Source organism: Homo sapiens, chromosome 9 (genome assembly GCF_000001405.40).
Source record: "Homo sapiens chromosome 9, GRCh38.p14 Primary Assembly".
Taxonomy (NCBI): Eukaryota; Metazoa; Chordata; class Mammalia; order Primates; family Hominidae; genus Homo; species Homo sapiens.
In genome coordinates, this window is record NC_000009.12 from 131,309,962 (window position 1) to 131,336,202 (window position 26,241).

General features: G+C 52.3%; 1 long non-coding RNA gene across 1 annotated transcript in view, besides 3 other annotated features; it reads left to right on the forward strand.

The window, feature by feature from the left end:
- Positions 1,013–1,092: a silencer, noted in NCBI's record as "silent region_20412". NCBI's record gives its function as "represses an Ori minimal core promoter by ATAC-STARR-seq in GM12878 lymphoblastoid cells {active_cell/tissue: GM12878}" and the evidence as "EXISTENCE:reporter gene assay evidence [ECO:0000049][PMID:35858748]".
- Positions 11,937–12,473: a silencer, noted in NCBI's record as "fragment chr9:134197285-134197821 (GRCh37/hg19 assembly coordinates)". NCBI's record gives its function as "represses an EF-1alpha promoter that drives an FKBP-Casp9 reporter gene in an ReSE screen in K562 erythroleukemia cells {active_cell/tissue: K562}" and the evidence as "EXISTENCE:reporter gene assay evidence [ECO:0000049][PMID:32094911]".
- LOC105376299 (uncharacterized) overlaps positions 14,909–26,241 on the forward strand; it is a 34,154-nt gene continuing 22,821 nt past the window's right edge. Inside the window, exon 1 of the long non-coding RNA XR_001746959.3 lies at positions 14,909–15,678. This is a non-coding gene — a long non-coding RNA (uncharacterized LOC105376299). The remainder of the gene's footprint in view (positions 15,679–26,241) is intronic.
- Positions 20,166–21,120: an enhancer, noted in NCBI's record as "H3K27ac-H3K4me1 hESC enhancer chr9:134205514-134206468 (GRCh37/hg19 assembly coordinates)". NCBI's record gives its function as "activates a minimal SCP1, AML or CMV promoter by ChIP-STARR-seq in naive H9 embryonic stem cells {active_cell/tissue: H9 hESC(naive)}" and the evidence as "EXISTENCE:reporter gene assay evidence [ECO:0000049][PMID:30033119]".

The window sequence follows — 26,241 nt, forward strand, 5'->3', positions numbered from 1 at the left end:
AGCTCTCAATAGCCCTCTGATGTGAGGTGATCGACATGCCCATTCCATAGATGGGAAAATTGAGGCCTGAGACTTGCCCAAGGTTGCCCAGCCAGGAGGCAGCACAGTGAGGTGGGAGCCAGTTTGCCTTGTTCTCGGCCGCATCCCGCCACTCTCTGCCTCTGTTTCCACGTGGCCTTCTCCCTGTGTCTGCGTCTGTCTTCCTGTCACTGTCTGTGATCCCCTTCCTATAAGAATAACAGTTATACTGGCTTACAGTCCATCCTACTCTAGTATAACTTCATCTTAACTCACATCTTTTTTTTTTTTTTTTTTTTGAGATGGAGTTTTGCTCTTGTTGTCCAGGCTGGAGTGCAGTGGCGCAATCTTGGCTCACTGCAACATCCGCCTCCTGGGTTCAAGGGATTCTCCTGCCTCAGCCTCCTGAGTAGCTGGGATTACAGGCATGTGCCACCATGCCCGGCTAACTTTTTTGTATTTTTAGTAGAGATGAGGTTTCATCATGTTGGCCAGGCTGGTCTCGAACTCCTGACCTCAGGTGATCCTTTCACCTCAGCCTCCTAAAGTGCTGGGATTACAGGCGTGAGCCACTGTGCCCAGCCCCCACATCTTAGTCACATCTACAAAGACCCTGTTTCCAAAGAAGATCACATCCATAGACACTGGGAATTAGAGCTTCAGCATCTCTTTCTGGGAGAACCCAATTCAGTCCGTAACCCACAGGACACTTTTGGGGGAGGAACACATCTTCCCCTCCTAGCTGGGTGGTCTCTGGAGTCTTTAGGATAAGGAAGGGTTGCTGAAGGATGGAGGGCTCTGGGCAAATCCTCTAAAGCTTGGAGGGGACGGTGGAGCCCCAAGAGCACCTGGCGCACCGTGAAGGGGAGAGGCTCCCAGAAGGCAGTCGGCGTGCTGCCTGGGAGCCACATCCTGTGTGATGGCAGCGGCAGCCGGTGCTGGCTCAGGACAATGCCAGCACTTCCTGCCGGTGCTGACGTCCCGTCCCAGAGCGTTGGTGTCGTTGTCTGTCAAACGGGGATGACAGGGGCCCCGTGGGGTTGATGTGTGACTCGGGGTGCCCTCCACCTGCAAACCTGACACATCACAGGTCATGCTCAGTGTTGGTCACAGGGCTCCTGGCGTTGTTGCCCCTGGTGGCAAGGAAGGAACTGGGACACGATGTGCTGACATGGCCGTTAGCACAAAGCAGACCCGGGATCTGACTCTTCCAGGCTTTCCCTGGACTTCATCACTCTCAGACACCGACGTGTCTCTAGAACCATCACTCTGCATCCCCTTTCCATGAAGACCCAAGGGCCATGGGAGGAGCTGCCAACCTCAGATCCCAGATGACAGGGAAGAGGCTGTGACTCCTTCAGGACTTGCCATCCTGCCTTGTTGCTGGACAGAGCCTGGGTGGGGAGGTCGATGCCATTTTGCATTGGTTGACAGCTTCCAGTGCACATCATGGAACAAGAGAGATGGTGTGTACCTGCTCAGGCATGGGTAATGCACTTTGTTGAGTAAAGCCAATAACTGTTTTGTTTTGTTTTTGTTTTTTCAAGAGTTGAGGTCTCTTGGCCAGGCATAGTGGCTCACGCCTGTAATCCCAGCACTTTGGGGGTCCAAGGTGGGTGGATTACCTAAGGTCAGGAGTTCGAGACTAGCCTGGCCAACATGGAGAAACCCCATCTCTACTAAAAATACAAAAATTAGCCAGACATGGTGGTGCATGCCTGTAGTCCCAGCTACTTGGGAGGCTGAGGCAGGAGAATCACTTGAACCAGGAGGCGGAGGTTGCAGTGAGCTGAGATTGAGCCACTGCACTCCAGCCTGGGTGACAGAGCGAGACTCCGTCTCAGAAAAAAAAAAAAAAAAAAAGAAGAAGAAGAGTTGGAGTCTCGCTCTGTTACCCAGACTGCAGTGCAGGGGCACGATCACACCTCACTGCAGTCTCAAACTCCTGGGCTCAAACAATCCTCCCGCCTCAGCCTCCCAAGTAGCTAAAGGCATGCACCACCACACCGGCTAATATTTTTATTTTTTTACTTTTTTTTAAAATTGAGATAGAGTCTCACTCTGTCACCCAGGCTGGAGTGCAGTGGTGTGATCTCAGCTCACTGCAACCTCCGCCACCAAGGTTCAATCGATTCTTATGCCTCAGCCTCCCGAATAGATGGGACTACAAGCACCACCACGCCCAGCTAATTTTTTTTGTATTTTTAGTAGAGACAGGTTTTGCCATGTTGACCAGGCTGGTCTGGAACTCCTGACTTCAGGTGATCCACCCGCCTCAGCCTCTCAAAGTGTTGGGATTACAGGTGTGAGCCACCACGCCCAGCCTATTTTTATTTTTGTAGGGATGAGATCTCACTATTTTGTCCAAGCTGGTCTCCTAGCCTCAAGCAATCCTCCTGCCTTGGCCTCCCAAAGTGCTAGGACTGCAGACGTGAGCCACCGCGCCTGGTGATTGACATGCCCATTCCATTTTTTTATGGTGAATTATACATGATTTTTGAATGGCAGCCGCTTCTGCATATCTGAGACACACCCCACGTGGCCCTGGCGCATTTCCCTTCTAAATATGGCTGGGTTGGATTGAACAACGAATGTGTTCTGGATTCTGGCATCAATGTCCATGAGGGATGCTGGTGTCTGTTTCTTGATTTGGTTACCAGGGGCAGGCTGGCCTCTTCTACACTTCTGAAAGAATCTGTGTAAAATTGGTATCATCTCCTTCTCCAGCCCTCAGATCCCAGATCTCTGCTCTCCCTCTAGTTCCAGCCTCTTGCAAAGCACCCTCTTCTTAGAATTGACATTCTGTTCTCAGCCATGATTTGAGGGGAGGAGTGAAGAGCGGGGCTCACACCTCCCACGGGCCTGGCCATACGTCTTCCATATGTGTCATTGTGATGACCTTATCCCTATTTTACAGATGAGGAAACTGAGGCTCAGAGAGGGAAACCCATTTCCCTAAGGTTGCCCAGCTTGGATGTGGTGGAGCCAGGATCAGAAACCAGGCCTGAGTGGCCCCAGCGCAGAGAAGCCCTCCGGAAGACAGAAACGCAGGGCACCCGCCAACCTCGGAATGAGGCTGAACTGGCGAAGCGACAGGCACAGGGAGGCGGGATGGGGGTGACTTGTTTTTCTATTTTTTAAACAGAACCAAACCCCACCGCGCCAGGCGGCTGCCTGTGCTGCCTCCGGCAGTCTTTGGCCAGACTCTGTGGGCCTCACCCTGGGCTGCAAGTTGGGTGTGGCAGGAATGGGGCCTGCTCCGTCCTTACGTGACCCCGAGAGGTCTATACAAAGGTGACACCTCCTCCACCCCTGCTTGTTCCCACCCACACCCTCTCCTGTCATCAGACAGACCCAGCCCTATGGATTCCGGCCTTCTCTGCACCAGCTGGGATCCCTGGAGCCTGGCGCTAACCCTGATTTTGCCCCATGCCCTTCCACCACCTGGTTTCTTCCTTCCCACCCCACCCACCCGGCATCACCTCCTCGCCACCCCAGCTGTCATGGCCAACATAACCACTTCCCAGAATACAGAAGAACGGGAGCCTGGAGACAGCCTGCAGGGATCATGACTATGGAAAATGGAAAGGGTGGTTTTCAATGTGTCATTTCGCCCCCAAGCAAGAGCCGTGAAGGTCTAAGGAGCGTGGCAAACTGCGGAAATGCATGGCTTGTCCTCAGTTCTGATCTGGCCAAGGAGTCTGGGTCTGGAGGGTGGACACCCGCAGCACAGCGTGTTGAGCAGGGTCTGTCAGGGGGGGGTCTCTTTACTTTTTTTTTTTCTTTTTTGAGACAGAGTCTCACTCTGTCGCCCAGGCTGGAGTGCAGTGGTACAACCTCGACTCACTGGAATCTCTACTTCCCAGGTTCAAGCTATTCTCCTACCTCAGTTTCCCAAGTAGCTGAGACTACAGACGGTGCCACCATGCCCGGCTAATTTTTTTTTCCCTTGAGACAGAGTCTCGTTCTGTTGCCCAGGCTGGAGTGCAGTGGCGAGATCTCGGCTCACTGCAAGCTCTGCCTCCCGGGTTCTCTCCATTCTCCTGCCTCAGCCTCCCGTGTAGCTGGGACTACAGGTGCCCACCACCACACCTGGCTAATTTTTTTGTATTTTTAGTAGAGACGGGGTTTCACCATTTTTTTTTTTTTTTTTTGAGACGGAGTCTCGCTCTGTCGCCCAGGCTGGAGTGCAGTGGCGGGATCTCGGCTCACTGCAAGCTCCGCCTCCCGGGTTCACGCCATTCTCTTGCCTCAGCCTCCCAAGTAGCTGGGACTACAGGCGCCCGCCACTACGCCCGGCTAATTTTTTGTATTTTTAGTAGAGATGGGGTTTCACCGTTTTAGCCGGGATGGTCTCGATCTCCTGACCTCGTGAACCACCCGCCTCGGCCTCCCAAAGTGCTGGGATTACAGGCGTGAGCCACCGCGCCCGGCCGGGGTTTCACCATATTAGCCAGGATGGTCTCGATCTCCTGACCCCGTGATCCGCCCACCTCACACCTGGGATTAGGTGTGAGGGCTACCGCGCCCGGCCTAATTTTTTGTATTTTTAGTAGAAATGGGGTTTCTCCACGTTGGCCAGGCTGGTCTCAAACTCCTGACCTCATGTGATCCGCCCGCCTCCACCTCCCAAAGTGCTGAGATTACAGGCACAAACCACTGTGCCTAACCTCCGCTTTTTTGTTTTTTGGTTTTTTTGAGACAGAGTCTCGCTCTGTCACCCAGGCTAGAGTGCAATGGTACGATCTTGGCTCACTACGACCTCCGCCTCCCAGGTTTAAGGGATTCTCCTGCCATAGCCTCCCGAGTAGCTGGGACTACCTGCGTGTGCCACCACGTCCAGCTAATTTTTGTATCTTTAGTAGAGACCGGGTTTCACCATGTGGGCCAGGCTGGTCTTGAACTCCTGACCTCAAGTAATCTGCCTGTCTTGTCCTCCCAAAGTGCTGGGATTACAGGCATGAGCCCGCTCCAGGCTGGGGGTCTCTTTTCAAGCAGAAAGGCCAGCTCGTGGAGTAGTGGGGAGAAGCAAGGGAGAGCCTTGAGCACACAACCCAGAACACACAGCCCCCTTGAGGTGGCAGGCAGGGTCCCACCTCCAGCTGTGGGCCACAGGGCTTCACTCTCTGCATGTCCAGCCACATCTCTCTCTAAGCCTCAGCTCTGTGCTTTGGGAAGGTCACTGGCTGGAAGCCCAGGGTAGGCTGAGGGGGCCAGGCTGGAGCTGGGCTGGGCTGGGTCGTGTGAGGGAAAGAGCACATAAATGGGAGTCGGGCAGACCTGGGTTCAGATTCCGGCCCTGACAGGTTGCTGACCCTTCTGAGCTTCAGCTTCTCCGTCTGTGAAATGGGGCTGATACTTGGCTTGCACAGTTGTGAGGGCTGGAGACAGGGCAATGGGACCACCCAGCCCGGCGCAGAGGGTTGCTGGAGAATGAGCCTCTTAGGCCACTGCCCCCTGGAAAGGACCCTGAGCGTTCCCTGGGCATTTAGGGACACTCTGGGGCTTGGACAGGTGGGCAGCAGGAGGGACTTGGAGAACCTCCAGGCAGGCAGCTCACCCATGTCATGATGGCACCTGTCCCCTGGCCACGGTTTGCCTGGGTACCTGGGTGTTTGGTGGCAGGGACAGGGTGGAGGTGTGTGGAGGAATCTCCGTTCCTGCCCCTGTGAGCCTGGCTTTTCTGGGAAGCTCTCATAAGAGTGTCCAAGGTATAAGCACCTCTCAGGGGTGGCGAGGGTGTTGCGTTGCCTCCTTCTACAGACGCAAATGCCACCTAATCACACAGCTCCCTCTGCAAACCCGCTCCCATCTCCATAGCAACTACAGGGCTTCGGCGCTCTTGGGCTCCTGGTCACTGTGGTTCAACTCCTAAGAGAGGGAGGGACCCCGGGTTTGTCCCCATCCAGCTCCAGGAAAGAGACGTTGGCTCGAGGAATCCGTCTCAAGGTCAAAGAGGGCGAGGTGAGGGCAGGGCGGGGACAGGCAGGCTGCAAACAGATCCGCTCTCTGCTGCTCTGGTCAGGAGGATTCTGGGAAGAGAGGACGGAGGGACAGAGATGCAGCTCTGGGTGGGAGGGCCACAGAGCTCAGCGTCCACTCATCCTGTGTGCGGCTCCCACCCGCCCCATCCAAAAAGTCTCAGGGAGGCAGCGGCACAAGGGCTGGCTCTGGGCAGTTTCCTCATCTGTAAGATGCGTCGATGCTCTGCGCCAGCGTATGGAGAGGCAGCCGCTGCAGTCTGTGCCCCCCACAGTCTGTACATTGAAATCCCAACCAAAACACGAGGGTATGAAGAGGTGGGCGTTTGGGGTCATTAGGTCATGAGGGTGGGCCCACACGACGGGATTAGTGCCCTTACAAAAAAGGCTCCGGATGCCGGGCGTTGTGGCTCACGCCGGTAATCCCAACGCTTTGGGAGGCTGAGGTAGGCGGATCACTTGAGGTCAGGAATTCAAGACCAGCCTGGCCAACATGGCAAAACCCTGTCACTACTGAAAATACAAAAATCAGCCCTGGGCAGGGTGGGGCATGCCTGTAATCCCAACTACTCAGGAGGCTGAGGGAGGAGAGTTGCTTGAAGCCAGGAGATGGAGGTTGCAGTGAGCCGAGATAGCACCATTGCACTCCAGCCTGGGTGACAAAGCAAGTCTCCATCTAAAAAAAAAAGAGGCTCCAGAGAGACCCCTTCCCCTTCCCCCAGGTGAGGATGCAGTGAGGAGGCCCCATGTATGAACCTGAGAGCGGACCCTCACCAGACGCCAAATCTGTGGGCACCTTGATCCTGGACTTTCCAGCCTCCAGAACTGTGAGAAGTCAATTTCTTCTTCTTCTTCTTCTTTTTTTTTTTGAGACAGAGTCTCGCTCTGTTGCCCAGGCTGGAGTGCAAGGGCGCGATCTCGGCTCACCACAACCTACGCCTTCCAGGTTCAAGCGATTCTCCTGCCTCAGCTTCCCAAGTAGCTGGGATTACAGGCGCCTGCCACCACGCCCGGCTAATTTTTGTATTTTTATTAGAGACAGGGTTTCACCATGCTGGCCAGGCTGGTCTGGAACTCCCAGCCTCAGGCGATCCGCCAGCCTCAGTCTCCCAAAGTGCTGGGATTACAGGCATGAGCCACCACACCCAGCCTAATTTTAAAAAATTTTTTGTAGAGATAAGGTCTAGCTCTGTTGCTCACGCTGGTCTTCAACTCCTGGGCTTAAGCAATTCTCCCGCCTTGGCCTCCCAAAATGCTAAGATTGTAAGTGTGAGCCACCTCGCCTGGCCCAATCCAAATTCTTTTTTTTTTTTTTTTTTTTTTGAGATGGAATCTTGCCCTGTCGCCCAGGCTGGAATGCAGTGGCGCAATCTCAGCTCAATCTCTGTCGCCCAGGCTGGAATGCAGTGGTGCAATCTCTGCCTCCCAGGTTCAAGTGATTCTCCTGTAGCACCTGCCACCATGCCCAGCTAATTTTTTGTATTTTTAGTAGAGACGGGGTTTCACCATGTTAGCCAGACTGGTCTCGAACTCCTGACCTCAAGTGATCCTCCTGCCTTGGCCTCCCAAAGTGCTGAAATTACAGGCATGAGCCACTGCACCCGGCCCCCCAATCCAAATTCTTATGCATGTACACACACACATTCTGAATAGGGAACTTCTCCATACTGTTTGCTAATCTGCTCTTCCACATGCTAAGATGTCATGGACCTCTCTCCCTGTAGTTTCCATCCTCACCTATAGTATTCCCTTGCACTGAGCCCTGATCACCTTCCTAACCAGTATCTGATGGGTGGATGGCCCCCAAACCCACATGGCTGGAAATGCAGGGAGTAAAGCTCTGTGACCCACACCGTGAGGTGGGGCCCTACCTGCCTCCTCGAGGGGGCTGTGTGCCCAGGGCTCTCCCTTGCTTTTCCATTAGCCTTCTCAAAGCTTTTCACGGCGCCCAAATGCAGTGGCTCACACCTATAATCCTAGCACTTTAGGGGGCCAAGGTGGGAGGATCACTTGAGCCCAGGAGTTTGAGAACATAGTGAGACCTCATCTCTACTAAAAACCAAACCCCCAGCCAAACCTGGGGACAGATCCACAGTGCAGAGACTGCCCCGGGGCATGGCCTACATTATGCCACTGGCCTGGCTGCTCTGCTTCTGGGCCCTATAGGAAGAGCACTGTGCGAGGAGTCCACCCTAGAGGAGATGCATTGGCACAGACCCCATCATGGCTTCCTGAGGCCCTGCCCAAAGGAAGCAGCTTCCCAGGCCAAGGCAATTCTCACCAGGACAAAGCTCCCCGAGTCCCCAGCCCTTCCCTGCCTGGGGAAAATCCGGGAGGGTCAGGGAAGGGGATGGCAGGAGCTAGAAAAATCCACCAACTCCCACATCCGCCGCCATCTGGCTCCAGGAAGAAACAGAACATCTGGCACCAGCTTTGGCCCATGGCGTTTATGTAAGCCATATGTGACCCCACGTGGCCCAGGCGGCCCCTCACAGGCTGGTGCCCTGGCCTCGTCCCACCTGACTTTTCCTCACGTGTGAAATAAGCGTGATAATCACGGGGCAGTCAGGGGGCGAGATGATGCTCAGAAAGCCCTGCTGCTCCCCTGAGCCCGAGCGCACAATCACTCACACACGCAGTCTCAGCCGCTGGCCTCCGTCTCCTCATATGTAAAATTATGTACGTGAGATCTCCAAGCATCCCTCCAGCTACAACAGTCCTTCAATAGTCCCTCCGTACATATCCACAGGTATTTCCATATCTAAACTTCATGCATGCATACACGTAGATGCAAACATGAGAACACATGTGTCCATATTTGCACACAGTCACATTTATACATGCACCTAGATATAAAATGCACCTTTCGCCATGGGCCAAAAGCCAGGGCCAGTTGTCCCATTTCTTCCTGGAGACAGATGGCAGTAGGTCTGGGAGTTCCTGGGTTTTTCTAGCTCCTGCCATTCCCTTCCCTGACCCTCCTGGTACACACACATCCATGTGTTCTGGTACACACACATCCATGTGTATATGTACACGCTTAGCTTTACCTACATTCACGCACAAATACTTTTTTTTTGAGACAGGTTCTTGCTCTGTCACCCAGCCTGTAGTGCAGTGGTGCAGATCTTGGCTCACTGCAACCTCCGCCTCCCAGGTTCAAGTGATTCTCATGCCTCAGCCTCCCAAGTAGCTGGGATTACAGGCATGCGCCACCACACCCAGCTAATTTTTGTATTTTTAGTAGAGACGGGGTTTCACCATGTTGGCCAGGCTGGTCTCGAACTCCTGACCTCAGCTGATCTGCCTGCCTCAGCCTCCTAAAGTGCTGGGATTACAGGCGTGGGCCACTGCGGCCGGCCGTGCACAGATGCTTACACATATGTGTGTTCTTGCACTGCTGTACACACTCACATGCCTGCATGTTCTCTTGAATGCACAAATTTACATGTATTCTGCCAGATTTAGCAAATCAATATGCAGGATGCATTATTTGGGACATATGTATACTAAAATACTATTTATCTGAAATTCAGTTTCACGGAGTGTCCTATATTTTATCCAACAATCTAACATGGATGTATAACATGCTCACACACGAAAACTCATGAAGCCATCAGGGTCCCCGGGGCCCAGCCCAGGACATGCTGTTTTGCCAGAAGAATGTCCAAGCCCTTCTCTTTGTCTGATAATTAAATCCACAGATGCTCTCCTGGCCGCAGCGCAGCCCCGGGGCCCCATTTGCCGCATTTAATAACCTGGCCCTTGGTGGGGAGGGGCCAGCTTCCAACAGGAGAGCCTTGGTTTGCTGGGATGCGAACAAAGTTTCTGTCAGCCGGGCGCGGTGGCTCACACCTATAATCCCAGCACTTTGGGAGGCTGAAGCAGGCAGAGCACCTGAGGTCGGGAGTTTGAGACTAGCCTGACCAACATGGTGAAACCCAACCTCCACTAAAAAGACAAAAATTAGCCAGCGTGGTGGCTAATGCCTATAATCCCAGCTATTCAGGAGGCTGAGGCAAGAGAATCGCTTGAACCCGGGAGGCCGAGGTTGCAGTGAGCCAAGATCGCGCCACTGCACTCCAGCCTGGGCAACAAGAGCAAAACTCCATCTCAAAAAAAAAAAAAAAAAAGTTTTTCTCGCCAGCAGCACAGCTGTGAAGTCTGGCAGCAGCGGGAGCTCTGGGAACCCTGGGGCCCCACCCGTGAGCCGAGGCCTGGGGCCTGGCCTCCAGGAGGGGTGTCCAGCTCGGGTGAGGGATGCAATCTCAGCCCCCAGGGGCCGGCTTGGCCTCTTCTCCATCCGGAGCTGCTTCTGCTGGTGGGAGACAGGTCAGGACAGGACAAGGATGCTGTGAAAGCTGCTTCCTCCACTCAAATCCTTCAGCGGGAAGGGCAAGGAACAAGGTCCTCAGGGGACCTTAGCTGGGAGAGAGGGAGTCACAGAAGGCAGGACACAGCCCTGCCCCAGCCATGAGACCTGGGTGAGACCTGGGCCCTCCTGTCCTCTCCACTCCCGCGCCTCCCCTTAGGAAAGAAGAATTCTGATGCTGAGCCCTGGGCCGGCAGATGCGCGATGAGTCTCTTAAGGGCCTCACAGGGAACAGGGTGAATTTCGTTAAGCAATCATCTATTTCCCTGATTAGTATGTGTTTTGGTTACACAAGAATGCTTTTTTATGATTTAAAAAATTAGGGGCCGGGCGCGGTGGCTCACGCCTGTAATCCCAGCACTTTGGGAGGCCGAGGTGGGCGGATCACGAGGTCAGGAGATCAAGGCCATCCTGGCTAACACCGTGAAATCCCATCTCTACTAAAAAATACAAAAAAATTAGCCCGGCGTGGTGGCGGGCGCCTCCCAGCTACTCGGGAGGCTGAGGCAGGAGAATGGCGTGAACCCGGGAGGCAGAGCTTACAGTGAGCCGAGATCGTGCCACTGCACTCTAGCCTGGGCAACAGAGCCGAGACTCGGTCTCAAAAAAAAAAAAAAAAAATTAGAACATACAAGGAAAACAAAAGCAAAAATATTTTAGTTATTCCTTTCGGATGTTTTTCGACACGTTTGTAAAAATGTAGACATATTTTGGAGGAAAAAAAAGCAATTATATTCTATAGTTTGTGACCTACTTCTTTTTCACTTACTAACATATTGTGAACAAGTTTCTGCATCAAAAAGTAAACACCAGCTGGGTGCAGTGGCTCATGCCTGTAATCCCAGCACTTTGGGAGGCCCAGGCAGGCAGATCACTTGAGGTCAGGAGTTCGACACCAGCCTGGCCAACATGGCAAAACCTCATCTCTACCAAAAAATACAAAAAATTAGCTGGGCGTGGTGGCACACACCTATAATCCCAGCTACTCGGGAGGCTGAGGTGGGAGAATCACTTGAACACAGGAGGCAAAGGTTGCAGTGAGCAAAGATCGAGCCACTGAACTCCAGCCTGGGTGACAGACTGAGACCCTGTCTCAAAAAAAAAAAAAAAACAAAAACTAAACACCAGCCGGGTGCGGTGGCTCACACCTGTAATTCCAGCACTTTGGGAGGTCGAGGCAGATAGCTTAAGCCTAAGAGTTCAAGACTAGCCTGGCCAACATGGCGAAACCCTGTCTCTACTAAAAATAGAAAAATTATCTGTGTGTTGTGGTGTAAGCCTATAATCCTAGCTATTCAGGAGGCTGAGGTGGGAGGATAGCTTGAACCTGGGAGGTGGAGGTTGCAGTGAGCCAAGATCATGCCACCCACTGCATTCCAGCCTAGGTGACAAAGTGAGACCCTGTCTCAAAAAACAAAACACCTATATCTCGACTTGTCACAGCCTCACAGTGGTCCCTGGTATGGAAGTCATTGCTTTTTTTTTTTACATTGCTCCTGGTTTTGTTTTGTTTAAATTGAGGTAAAATTCACATAAAAATATTAGGTTGGTGCAGCCGGGCACAGTGGCTCACGCCTGTAATCCCAGCACTTTGGGAGGCCAAGGCCGGTGGATCACCTGAGGCCAGGAGTTCGAGACCAGCTTGGCCAACATGGTGAAACCCCGTCTCTACTACAAATACAAAAAAATTAGCTGGGTGTAGTGGCAGGTGCCTGTAATCCCAGCTACTTGGAAGGCTGAGTCAGGAGAATCTCTTGAGCACGGGAGGCAGAGGTTGCAGTGAGCCAAGATGGCACCACTGCACTCCAGCCTGGGCAACAAGAGCGAAACTCCATCTCAAGAAAAAAAAAATAGGTTAGGTTGGTGCAAAAGTAATTGCAGGTTTTGCCATTACTTTCAGTGGCTAAAACTGCAAATACTTTTGCACTAACATGATACAATAAACTATTTTTTTAATTTTATTTATTTATTTGAGACAGTCTCACTCTATTGCCCAGGCCAGAGTGCAATGGCACAATCTCGGCTCACTGCAACCTCTGCCTCCCAAGTTCAAGCGATTCTCCTTCCTCAGCCTCCCGAGTAGCTGGGATTACAGGTGTGCAACACCATGACCGGCTAATTTTGTATTTTCAGTAGAGACGAGGCTTCACCATGTTGGTCAGGCTGGTCAACTCCTGACCTCAGGTGACCTGCCTGCCTTGGCCTCCCAAAGTGCAGGGATTACAGGCGTGAGCCACTGCGCCCAGCCCAATGAACTATTTGAGAGTGTATGATTCAGTGGTATTAGTACATTTACAGTGCTGTGCAACTACCACCTCTACTTCGTTCCAAAATATTTTCATCGCCTCAAAAGGAAACCCCATCCCGCCTCCCCCAGGCCCTAATCTGCTTTCTGTCTCTATGGATTTGCCTCTTCTAGATACTTCATGTAAATGGAATCAGACAATATGTGACCTTTTGTGTCTGGCTTCTTTCCCTTCGTGTAATGTTTTCAAGATTCATCCATGGGAGTGCACGGATCAATCAGTGCTTCATTCCTTTTTATAGCTCAATAATATTCCACTGTATTGATAATGCTATTACCCAGTCATCGGTTGATGGGCATTAAGTGTGGTTTGCACCTTTTGGCTATTGTGAACACAGTTGTTGTGGTCATTGAGGTACAAGCATTGTTGAGTGCCTGTTTTGGGTTCTCTTGGTGTATACCTGGGAGCGGAATCGCTGGTTCCTGTGGTAACTCTATGTGTCACATTTTGAGGGACCTTGAACTGTTTTCCATAGCAGCTGCACCATTTTCCATTCCCATCAACAAAGTACAACAGCTCCAGTTTCTCCACATCGTTGCCAACACTCCTTATTAACTTTTTTTCTTTTTTTTTTGACATAGAGTTTTGCTCTTGACACCCAGGCTGAAGTGCAGTGGCATGATCTCGGCTCACTGCAACATCCACCTCCCAGGTTCAAGCGATTCTCCTGCCTCAGCCTCCCGAGTAGCTGGGATTACAGGCACCTGCCACCACGCCTGGCTAATTTTTGTATTTTTAGTAGAGACGGGGTTTCACTATGTTGTCCAGGCTGGTCTCGAACTCCTGACCTCCAGTGATCCGCCTGCCTCAGCCTCACAAAGTGCTGGGATTACAGGCGTGAGCTACCGCACCCAGCCAGAGACAGGGCCTTTAAGGAGTTTATGACGTTAAAACGAGGCTGTCAGGGTGGGCCCTGATCCAATCTGACTGGTGTCCTTCTAAGTAGAGGAAACTTGGTCACACAAAGAGACACCAGGGATGCACAAGCACAGGGGAAATGGCTTGTGAGGACACGGCGAGAAGGCAGCCATCTGCAAGCCACGGAGAGAGGCCTCAGGTGAAACCAAACCTGCTGAACTTTGATCTTGGACTTCCAACCTCCAGAGCTGTGAGAAAATAAAATTTCTGTTGTGTGAGCCACACAGTCTATGGGATTGTATTATGACAGCCCTGGGAAACGAAACACTCCTCTCAGCTTGTTCACCATCTGATGTGTTCCCTGCGCATGCCCAGCCCCACAGTCCGCCCTTCCTTTGTCAGGGATCTGAGGTGTGCAGAGCCCCACACCTGTGCCGGTCAGCAGCTGCCATGTAGATAGTGGGACCCTGATGCTGCACAGAAGGTCCCTGGAAGCAGGTGGCCCCTCTCAGGATGCGTAGAATACAGCAAAGGCTTTAATTATTTTTTTTAAATACAGAAGCTCAGGTCCCACCTGAAGAGGTTTGGGTGTAATTGGTGTGGGGCGTGGGCTCCTCACGGGGATTGTTTTCCAAGCTTCCCAGGTGATTTCAGTACAGCCAAAGTTAAGAATCGATCCTGGAGCCGGGCACGGTGCCTCATGCCTGTAATCCCCGCACTTTGGGAGGCTGAGGAGGGTGGATCACGAGGTCAGGAGATCGAGATCATCCTGGCTAACACGGTGAAACCCCGTCTCTACTAAAAGTACAAAAAAATTAGCCGGGCGTGGTGGCGGGTGCCTGTAGTCCCAGCTACTCGGGAGGCTGAGGCAGGAGAATGGCATGAACCCGGGAGGCGAAGCTTGCAGTGAGCCGTGATCCTACCACTGTACTCCAGCCTGGGCAACAGAGCGAGACTCCGTCTCAAAAAAAAAAAAAAAAAGAATCAATCCTGGGCCAGGTAAGCCAGCTCACACCTATGATCCCAGCACTTTAGGGGGCCAAAGCCGGAGGGTCCCTTGAGTCCAGGAGTTCAAGACCAGCCTGGGAAATATAATTAGACTCATAGCAAGATCATGCAGCTGCAGTCAGCCATGATGGTGCCACTGCACCCCAGCATGAGCAACATGGCAAGACCCCATTTCTACTAAAAATCAAAACATAGCCCAGCATGGCGGCATGCACCTACAGTCCCAGCTACTCAGGAGGCTGAGGTAGGAGGATTGCTTGAACCCAGGAAGTTGAGGCTGCAGTGAGCCATGAATGCACCACTGCACTCCAGCCTGGGTGACAGAGCAAGACTCTGTCTCAAAAAAACAAAAAACAAGAATCAACCTAACCTCCAGGCCCCTCAGGTGGAAAGGCCAAGGGAATCCATCCAGGTATAGCCCAAGGCTCTGAGTCCGGGAAAGGATGGGGTAGTTTGTAGGGCAAAGGTCCTTCTGCCTCTGACCTGGTTCCTGGATAGCTTTGCCAAGAGGGGCCAGGTCAGGTCTCTCACGGGAGGGATCAGCAGCCCCTCACTCTTCAATGATCACATTCAAAATCTACGTGGGGGGTTGTGTTGAGATCTCAAAGGGGAGAAGGAGGAAGCCTCCATGCACTCCAGGGGGAACGGAGACCCTCAACCTTGTTCCATCTCCCCTTCCTTCCTGCCCCAAACCCAAGCAGCTGCAACATTCCACTCCACGCCCAGCAGGCACGGGGTCCGGCTAGGATTCTGTTTCTTGGGAGAGACGGGCCACGGGACTGCGTCCTGGTTTTCAGGGGCCTGGGGCGCCTGACTCTACCACCCGCGCTGTGGAGGCCGAGGCAAGGCTCGCCTGCAGATATGGGCTTGTGTTTGTTCTGTTCCTGGAAGACATGCGCTGCCACCGAGTCACTGGGCTTTTGACTCAGCTGTGTTTCCTCCTGCAGATGAACCCAAACCCAGGCTTTGGAGTCAGCAGAGCCAGCTGGGGCATCAGCCTCCCACTGGCGTCTGTGTGACTTTGGGCAATTCTCTTGACCTCTCTGAGCTTCGGTTTTCGGTCTCTCTGAAATGGGAGGAACCAACTAGACCAGCGTCTCAATCCCTGGACTCAAGCCTTGGACATCTCAAGTGGGTGAGTCCTTTCCCTTTTTGGCTGCAGAGTTGGAGCTGGGCTTCGGTTACTTGTAACCAGCACAGCTGAGTGCAGGTGGGTTGCTCTCTGCAAATGGCTGTGGAAATGAAGTGTATGAGCTTTAACCAGGGTGGGACTCAGAGGGCTCATGGGGTAACGGGCTGTTCCCCACTCCACACCCAGGAAAGGGGAAAGCCCAGTGGCCCCTTGCATTCTGGCTTCAAGTCCCTGCACAAAGCACAGTAAGAATAGCTCCCACTGATGGGAGCCCACTAGGCCATTGTTGACACTTCCCCGAACTCTCCAAGTGGGCTGTTATCATCTCGGCTCGCTAAGCAGAGTCAGGAGGTGGCTGAGCTGCAATTCTTGCTAAGAGACCACAGAGGTCCAGAAGTGGATTAATCATAATCTTTGGGTCATCACAACTCTCATTAATGAGCCATGCTGCTTTAGGTGTTTGCTTTTAAGATGGTTTTTTTGGCTCACGCCTGTAATCCCAGCACTTTGGGAGGCCGAGGTGGGTGGATCATGAGGTCAGGAGATCAAGACCAAGGTGAAACCCCGTCTCTACTAAAAATACAAAAAATTAGCTGGGTGTGGTGGCGGGCGCCTGTAGTCCCAGCTACTCGGGAGGCTGAGGCAGGAGAATGGCGTGAACCCGGGAGGCGGAGCTTGCAGTGAGCCGAGATTGCGCCACTGCACTCCAGCCTGGGCAACAGAGTGAGACTCCGTCTCAAAAAAAAAAAAAAAAAAGATGGTTTTTTGTGCTTTTTTTTTTTAAGAGATGAGGTCTCCCCCTGTCACCCCTGCTGGAGTGCAGTGACACGATCCTAGTTCACTGCAATCTCAAACTCCTGGGCTCAAGCAATCCCCTGACCTCAGCCTCCCGAGAAGCTACATTGAGTCTCTAGATCAGTTTATGAAGAACTGACATCTCTGTAATATCAGGCTTTCCTGTCCTTAAGAATGGGTTATCTCGGCCGGGCGTGGTGGCTCATGCCTGTAATCCCAGCACTTTGGGAGGCCGAGGTGGGTGGATCACGAGGTCAGGAGTTCAAGACCAGCCTGGTCAAGATGGTGAAACCTCGTCTCTACTAAAAATACAAAAAAATTAGCCAGCCGTGGTGGCAGGCGTCTGTAATCCCAGCTACTCAGGAGGCTGAGGCAGAGAATTGCTTGAACCCAGGAGGTGGAGGTATAATTGCCTGCCTAATTCTTGCCTACGTTTCATTATACTTATTCTTAGGTACTTATTATAATTTTCATACTCTTGTGAACATTATCCTTTTTTTTTCAAGGATATTTTCCAATTGTTTCTTCCTGGTATACAGAAATGAAATTAGTTTTTGTATATTTTTCTTATATCTAGGTATCTTGCCAAACTCTCCCTCTGGGGTTCCATATAGCTGGTAGTATCTGAAAATAATGTGTTTTATTTTCTCTTTCCCAATCCTTATGTTTCGAATTTATTTTTTCTAGTCTTAATGTTAGAGTGGAAGCTCCAATACTCTGTTGAACAGAAGTGATAATAGCAAACAGAACATTCTTGTTTCCAGTCTCAGAAGGAATGCTGCTAATGTTTATCCTCCCATTTCCGACTTGCCAAGAGGCTTAATCACAAATTTATGTGAACTTCTAAAAATACTTCCTCAGCATCTATTAAAATGATCCTGTAGTTTTTCCTCCTTTCATCAGTTAATACGATAAGTAACACTGATAGACTTTTCTTTTTTTTTTTTTTTGAGACGGAGTCTTGCTCTGTCACCCAGGCTGGAGTGCAGTTGCACCATCACAGCCCACTGCAGCCTCAAACTCCTTGACTCAAATGTTCCTCCCACTTCAGCCTCCCAGGTAGCTAGGGTTACACGAGCATGCCACCATTCCAGGCTAATTTTTTTTTTTTCATTTTTTTAGAGACAGGAGTTTCACTGTGTTGCCCAGGCTGGTCTCAAACTCCTGGCCTCAAGCAGACCTCCCACCTCAGCATCCCAAAGTGCTGGGATTACTTGGTGTGAACCACCATGCCTGGCCCCACCCTTTCTATTATTGATAATGCTTTTAAAGTATAAGACAACTTTGCCTCATATCAAAATATATCTTTATATCTTTTTATATATATATATAATAGATAGATAGATAGATAGATAGATAGATAGATAGATAGGCTAGGCGTGGTAACTCACGCCTGTAATCCCAGCATTTTGGGAGGTTAAACGGGCAGATCACTTAAACTCAGGAGTTGGAGAGCAGCCTGGGCAACATGGTGAAACTATGTCTCTGAAAATTATTTTTAACCTTTTTGGATCCTTAAATTTTTGGTGAGCTCTCTTTTTGTGTGTGTGCAGATCTCTTTTAAGCTTCATCAATCTGGAATTTTTTTTTCCTACCCAGTCTCTGAATCTCTTACTTATTGATTTACAGACAGGGTCTCAGTCTGCCACCCAGGCTGGAGTGCGATGGTGCAATCACAGCTCACTGCAGCCTCCACCTCCCACTTCAGTCCCCTCTGTGCCTGGGACGACAGGCATGCACCACCATGCCTGGCTAATTTTTGGGTTTTTTGTTTGTTTTGTTTTGTTTGAGACAGGGTCTAGTTCTGCCACTCAGGCTGGAGTGCAGTGGCGTGACACAGCTCACTACAACTTCTGCCTCCTGGGCTCAAGCAATCCTCCCATCTTGCCTCCCGCGTAGCTGGGACTACAGGCATGCGCCACCACACCCAGCTAACTTTTGCAATTTTTGTAGAGACAGCGTTTTGCCATGTTGCCCAGGCTGGTCTCGAACTTGTGAGCTCAAGCAATTCACCCGCCTCAGCCTCCCAAAGTGCTGGGATTACAGGCATGAGCCCCCATGCCCAACCAGTTTTTTGGTTTTTGTTTTGAGACAAGGTCTAGTTCTGTCACTTAGGCTGGAGTGCAGTGGCATGACACAGCTCACTGCAATTTCTGCCTCCTGGGCTCAAGCAATCCTCCCGTCTTGCCTCCCACGTAGCTGGGACTACAGGCATGCACCACCACACCCAGCTAATTTTTGCAATTTTTGTAGAGACGGCATTTTGCCATGTTGCCCAGGCTGGTCTCAAACTCGTCAGCTCAAGCAGTTCACCTGCCTCAGCCTCCCAAAGTGCTGGGATTACAGGCGTGAGCCACAGTACCCAGCCAGTTTTTTGGTTTTTGTTTTGAGACAGGGTCTCGCTCTGTCACCCAGGCTGGAGTGCAGTGGCACAATCTCAGCTCACTGCAGCCTCGACTTCTGGGGCTCAGGTGATTCTCCCACCTCAGCCTCTTGAGTAGCTGGGATCACAGACGCACGCCACCATGCCCACCACGCCTGTGGCGGTGTTGCTGTGGGAACCTGGCCTCTGACCTCCCAGCCCACTGATACCTGCCAGGCCAGACCAGTTTCCTCCTCTCAGGACCTTTGGTTGGCCACTGCCCTGGGCCCAGATCCCACCTCTGTGCCCAGCACCTGACCACCCACGCTTTCTTCTTCAGCCACTGTGGAGCGGCTCACATTTCTTGATTTATCTCCTGTTTGAATTGGGGAGGGGGCCGTTTCCATGAACTCTCCTTTCCGTAAGACCAACAATGCTTCAAAAAATATGCTCATCCCGGGTCAGGTGGAGGGAGCAGGTGTGTCCCTCAGGGCTCCCACAGTCATGACTCAAAAGCTGAGGCCCCTGAAGCACTGAAATCTGAGCCACTCATGTGCAACTCAAAGCCGGTGCCCCTCCGCTGTTTCCCAGGCTTCTCACTGTTGGGTGACTCTGCTGTGACACCTTAGGGGCTGGTGATGTGTCGGGAGCTGTTTCCCCCCAAGCTGAGGGGCGTGGCTGGCTTTGTTTCTAGAGTCCTCCCGGTCCCCCTCAAAAGCCTCCCTGCACCAGCCTTGCTCCCAGACCCTCAGAAGTATGTGGTGCTGTGGCCTCTGCGTGCCTCGCTGGGCTGAGCCGGCACCACCTTCCCCGTCTGCTGCTTCTGGTTTACCAACGGCTGGAAAGACAAGGCTCCAGGCTCGAGGGTTTGTGCAAAGGGAAGTGGAGTCTACACAGGGTCTGGCAAGCTCCTCTGTGATCAGGGGGACCTTGGAGGGCATGGCACAGGCTGCTCTTTGCATCTTGCCTTGGCCATGAGTGGTTCATGAATCCATTTGAAGGCATGAAAATGTGGCACCAAGAATGCACATGTTGAGGTCAAACAGCCTGGGATCCAACCCTGTTCTTCTGCTTAGGCTGGTGTGACCCTAGACAAGTGATTTCATTCATCTAAGCCTCGGTTTCTTCATCTGTACCATGGGAATAACAACTGTATCTTGTTCTCAGAGTGCTGATGAGGATTGAGTGTGCTTATCCATGTAAAGAGACTGGCTATGCCTGCTGTTTATTCATTTACTTATTTATTGAGATAGGGTCTCACTGTGTCACCCAGGCTGGAGTGCAATGATGCAATCTCGGCTCACTGCAACCTCCATCTCCTGAGCTCAAGTGATCCTCCAACCTCAGCCTCCAGAGTAGCTGGGACCACAGACATGCGCCACCGTGCCTGGCTAATTTTTTGTATTTTTGGTAGAGATGGGGTTTTCAGGGAAGGTCTCGAACTCCTGAGCTCAAGCAATCCGCCCACCTCGGCCTCCCAAAGTGCTGGGATTACAGGCATGAGGCACCATGCCTGGCCACCTGCTGTTTAATTAGTGCTAAGTGTGTGTATGTGTGAGTGTGACTGTGTGTGTGTGTGCGTGTGCGTGTATGTGGCCCACAGAGAGAGTTTCAGCAGTACCCACCAGGGCCAGCTCTATACTAAGCCCTTGACACACACTGCCACATGAAGAAAGAGCTTCCAATATCTATCATTAAGGATGAGAAAATTGAGACTCAGCAAAGCTTACTGACTTTTCCAACATCCAACCCAGCCACCTGATTTGTGTCTCCAAATCCTCAACCACCCACTATCAAGCCTGACTCATCAAGTATTGCACGAGGGAAATGGATTTTCTACAAAATAAGAAAACCCAGGCTGAGTAGTGGCTCACACCTGTAATCTCAGCACTTTGGGAGGCCGAGGCGGGTGGATCACGAGGTCAGGAGATCGAGACCATCCTGGCCAACATGGTGAAACCCTGTCTCTACTAAAAATACAAAAATTAGCCAAGCATGGTGGTGCGCGCCTGTAGTCCCAGCTACTCGGAAGGCTGAGGCAGGAGAATCGCTTGAACCCGGGAGGCGGAGGTTGCAGTGAGCCGAGATCACACCACTTCACTCCAGCCTGGTGACGAGCGAGATTCCATCTCAAAAAAAAAAAAGAAAGCCTGAGCCTTCAGGCCTGCATTCTGGCTCGTTTATTCTTTCACCAGCTGGAGTCCTCCCCCGTGGCAGGTGCTGGCTGAGCCTGGGGAGAGCAGGCCACACGGGGGAAGGTGCTTTGAGACCCTCCCCAGAAGAATCCTCCAGCCTCTGGCTAAACCCCCAGCCACCTTCACCAGCCACATCCAGGCTCCTGGGAGCAAACACGAGCTCTCTTGGCTTCCTAAGAACCAGTTGTCCCTGTCCCCACCTACCCTCACCCCAGCAGTGCAGGGAGGGGGTCCCCTCCTGAGAAGGGTCACATTCTAGGCCTGAGGGCGGCCAAGCCAGCCCAGTGGTGTTTTCTCAAGCTGCCTGAAGAAACAAGTCCAGCATCTGGCCTTCCTGCTGTGATAATCCTCTTCCTGCCCCTGCGCCCCCTCCCCACTTGGCCGGAAAGCGGCAGGCTTTCTCTTCCCCTCCTTACAAGGGAGGCCTGGCTGGAATGTGTCCCTTGATAACGGGGCTCGTGAGGGGCTTGGCATAGAATGGGCTGCCTGCTGTGGGCTCTCAGACACATGTGGGGCTGACTGATAAGGGCCCTGCTGGCCTTCTGCGCTGAGGCCCCATTTGACAAGCTGTGGGCAGGATTTGAAGAGGGGTCAGTGTTCACAGAGTACCCTGGAATCCATCAAATGTGCAGGGAGCGGGCTGGGCACAGTGGCTCATGCCTGTAATCTCAGCACTTTGGGAGGCTGAGGTGGGTGGATCACCTGAGGTCAGGAGTTCAAGACCAGCCTGGCCAACATAGTGAAACCCCATCTCTACTAAAAATACAAAAAGTAGCTAGGTGTGGTGGTGCACGCCTGTAGTCCCAGCTACTTGGGAGGCTGAGGCAGGAGAATTGCTTGAACCCGGGAGGCAGAGGTTGCAGTGAGGTGAGATCGCACCATTGCACTCCAGCCTGGCGACAGAGCGAGACTCCATCTCAAAAAAAAAATTGTGCAGGGAGCACAGCCTTGGGCGGACCCTGTGTGTGCATGGGGGTGGGAGTGAGGGGAGGGAGACCCAGTCACTGTCCCCAGGGGCTCACAGTGTAAGGGCCCCTGGGGTCAAGGACATGAAAAGAGGAATTTGCTAGGTACAAAGTTGGTTTTTTTTGTTTTGTTTTGTTTTGTTTTGTTTTGTTTTTCAGACAGGATCTCACTCTGTCACCCAGGCAGGAGTGCAGTGACACAATCATGGCTCACTACAGCCTCTACTTCCTGGGCTCAAGCGATCCTCCTGCCTCAGCCTCCAGGGTAGCTGGAACTATAGGCATGCACCACCATGCCTGACTAATTTATTAATTTTTTATAGAGACAGGGGGGTCTCACCTACCCAGGCTGGTCTCAAACTCCTGGGCTTAAGTGATCCTCCCACCTCAGCCTCCCAAAGTACTGGGATTACAGGCATAAGCCAGTGCGCCCAGCCTGAAGTTATTTTATTCACCCATTAATTGTGTCGACAAATCTACAGATGTCACACTGAATGAATGAGTCTAGAATGAAGGTTAAGAATCAGGGCTCAGATATCAGCCAGGCCCAGATTCGAGGCATAGCTCCATTACTTAGTGGCTTTGACTTACCGTGTAAGACTCCATTTCCTCATCTGTAAAATGAGGAGAACCGGCCAGCCGGGCGCAGTGACTCACGCCTGTAATCCCAGCACTCTGGGAGGCCGAGGTGGGCGGATCACCTGAGGTCAGGAGTTTGAGACCAGCCTGGCCAACATGGTAAAACCCCATCTCTACTAAAAATACAAAAATTAGCCGGGCGTGGTGGCAGCCTCCTGTAGTGTCAGCTACTTGGGAGGCTGAGGCAGGAGAAGCGCTTGAACCCGGGAGGCGGAGGTTGCAGTGAGCCCACTGAACTCCAGCCTGGGCAACAAGAGTGAAACTCCATCTAAAAAAAAAAAGAGGAGAACCAAGTACCTACCTCAAAGGCACCTCATGAGGGTTTGGGGAGATGGCACACATATTGCACGCAAAATGGGCTTGGGGACTGGTAAGCCCTCAGTAAATGTTTTGTTTTTGTTTTTTTTAGATAGTGTCTTTCTCTGTCACCCAAGCTGGAGTGTGGTGGTGTGATCTCAGCTCACTGCAACTTCCACCTGCTGGGTTCAAGTGATTCTCCTGCCTTAGCCTCCCAAGTAGCTGAGATTACAGGCCCCCACCAGCATGCCCAACTTATTTTTGTATTTTTAGTAGAGACAGGGTTTCACCATGTTGGACTGGCTGGTCTCGAACTCCTGACCTCAAGTGATTCACCTACCTCGGCCTTCCAAAGTCCTGGGATTATAGGCACAAGCCACCACACCCGGCATGTAAATGTGGTTTTTTTTGTTTTGTTTTTGTTTTTGTTTTTGTTTTTGAGAGAGTCTCACTCTGTCGCCCAGGCTGGAGTGCAGTGGTGCAGTCTCGGCTCACTGTAACCTCTGCCTCCCAGGTTTAAGCGATTCTCCTGCCTCAGCCTCCCAACTAGTGCACTCCAGCTTGGGTGACAGAGAAAGACACTAGCTGGGATTACAGGCATGTGCCACCACGCCCAGCTGATTTTTTGTATTTTTAGTAGAGATGGGGTTTCACTGTGTTAACCAGGATGATCTCAATCTCCTGACCTCGTGATCTGTCCGCCTCGGCCTCCCAAAGTGCCGGGATTACAGGCGTGAGCCACCACACCTAGCCCTGTAAACGGTTTTTAAACCATGACACTGGCTCCCAGTGCTTTGGGAGGCCAACGAGGAAGGATCCCTTGAGCCCAGGAGTTCAAGACAAGACTAGGCAACAGAGCAAGACCCTGTCTCAAAAACAAAAACAAAAACAAAAAAACACAAAAACCATGACTGCTGGAATCCCAAGGGCCCGGAGATGAAGAAGTGCTCTCCCCTCCACCTGCCTCTGCAGGGCTGTGTGGGTTGGGAGTAGCCATGAGGGCAGTGTCTGAGGACACAGGGCAGCTTCCTGGAACCTGGGCTGGGAAGAGGGTGCAAGGGGCAGAGCTGGGAGCAGGGGAGCCTCTCTCCTGGGGCCCCGGGCTTTTGTGCATGTGCCTCATTCCATCCTCTGCAGACCAGCCCCCTCTGCTATCATGGCTGCCCCTCATGGATCCCTCACCCCAAGTCCAGTTTCTCTTCCAGTTAGACAGAGCCCACCCCATGTGACCAGAGTCTCCCAGACCCGATTCCAAATGGCCAGGAGAGCTCAAACCCAGGCCCAGCTTGTGTCCAGCCCTGGCCGAGCCCACTCAGCTGAGGCTGCTGGCGGGGGCCTGTGGGTGCAGGCAGTGAGCTCTGTAAGAGAGGGGCTGCGCCACCCCTTGCTGTAGGACCCCAGCCTCCAGGCCAGGGCCCCTGTGTAGCAGGTCCTCAAAAAAGCATTTTCTAGGCCAGGTGCGGTGGTTCATGCCTGTAATTTCAGCACTTGGGAGGCTGAGGCAGGAGGATCACCTGACGACAGGAGTTTGAGAACAGCCTGGCCAACATAGTGAAACCCCGTCTTTACTAAAAATACAAAAATTAGCCGGGCGTGGTGGTGGGCGCCTGTAATTCCAGCTGAGGCAGAAGAATGGCTTGCACTCTGGAGACAGAGGTCACAGTGAGCTGAGATCACGCCCCTGCACTCCAGCCTGGGCAACAGAGCGAGATTCCGTCTCAAAAAAAAAAAAAAAAAAAAAAAAAAGCATTTTCCAGGACAGCTCTTGCTTCTTAGCCCTTCGCATACATCAAACCGTTTAGGAACACTGTCTAATTACAGCCGGGGCAGGACAGTTCTTGTCTCCATTTCACAGTCCGGGGAAGTGCTTTACCCCAGGCCACGTGGCAACTCAGGCCTGCAAGGCCCCAGCCAGGGGTGGGCAGGGCCGGTGGGAGGGAGAGGGTGCCTGGGGAGTTAAGAATATCCCTGCAGTGCTCAGCCTCTGGGTCTTGTGATGCCGAAACTCAAGCGCCCCCTGACTCAGCAGGATATTAATAAGCCTGGCCGGTTCCCAGGGGGCCGGCTCTGCCAGGGGCTGGAACAGAAGGACTCCCAGCCCTGCGGCCCGGATCCCCCTCCCCATGGCAACACAGCCCCACCCCTACTCCTTCTCCAGGTGCCCCCTAGCAGCCCCACAGCCCAGAGTCTCCCAGAACAAATTAATGTGGGGGAGCCCCCCAACCCACTGCTGAGCATATTGGGCAAATCTCACCGAGCTGAAGGGACCCTTCCTAGAAGGGATCCAGGAGGAAAGACAGAGCCAAGCAGCCTGGGAGAGGGAAGGGGTTTGAGCAGCCAACAGTGTGGGTTTGGGATGGGAGCTGAGTTGCAGCCCTGGTTCTCCCATTTCTAAGGTGCTCACTTGGGACAAATCCCTTATCAACACTAAGCCTTGGTTCCTTCCTTCCTTCCTTCTTTTCTTTTCTTTTCTTTTCTCCTTCTTCCCTCCCTCCCTCCCTCTCTCTCTCTCTCTCTCTTTCTTTTTGAAACAAGGTGTCATTCTGTCACCCAGGCTGGAACACAGTGGCACAATCATAGCTCACTGCAGCCTTGACCTCCTGGGCTCAAGCAATCCTCCCACATCAGCCTCCTGAGTAGCTGCGACTATAGGCCTGTGCCACCACACCCAGCTAACATTTGTATTTGTTTTTGTAGACACGGGGGTCTCACCATGTTGCCGAGGCTGGCCTCAACTCCTGTGCTGAAGCCATCCTCTGGCCTCAGCCTCCCAAAGTGCTGGGACTACAGGCATGAGCCACACACTGCTCGGCCTGAGCCTTGGTTTCTTTTTTCTTTTCTTTCCTTTCTTTTTTTTTTTTTTTTTTTTTTTGAGACAGACTCTCGCTCTGTCGCCCAGGCTGGAGTGCAGTGGGTGGCACGATTTCGGCTCACTGCAAGCTCCGCCTCCCGGATTCACGCCATTCTCCTGCCTCAGCCTCCCGAGTAGCTGGGACTACAGGCATCCACCACCACACCCGGCTAATTTTTTGTATTTGTTAGTAGAGATGGGGTTTCACTGTGTTAGCCAGGATGGTCTCGATCTCCTGACCTCGTGATCTGCCTGCCTCGGCCTCCCAGAGTGCTGGGATTACAGGCGTGAGCCACCCGTGCCTGGCCTTTTTTTTTTTTTTTTTTTTTTTGAGACAGAGTCTTACTCTGTCGCCCAGGCTGGAGTATAGTGGCTCGATCTTGGCTCACTGCAACATCCGCCTCCCAGGTTCAAGTGATTCTTATGCCTCAGCCTTCCAAGTAGAGATGGGGTTTCTCTCTA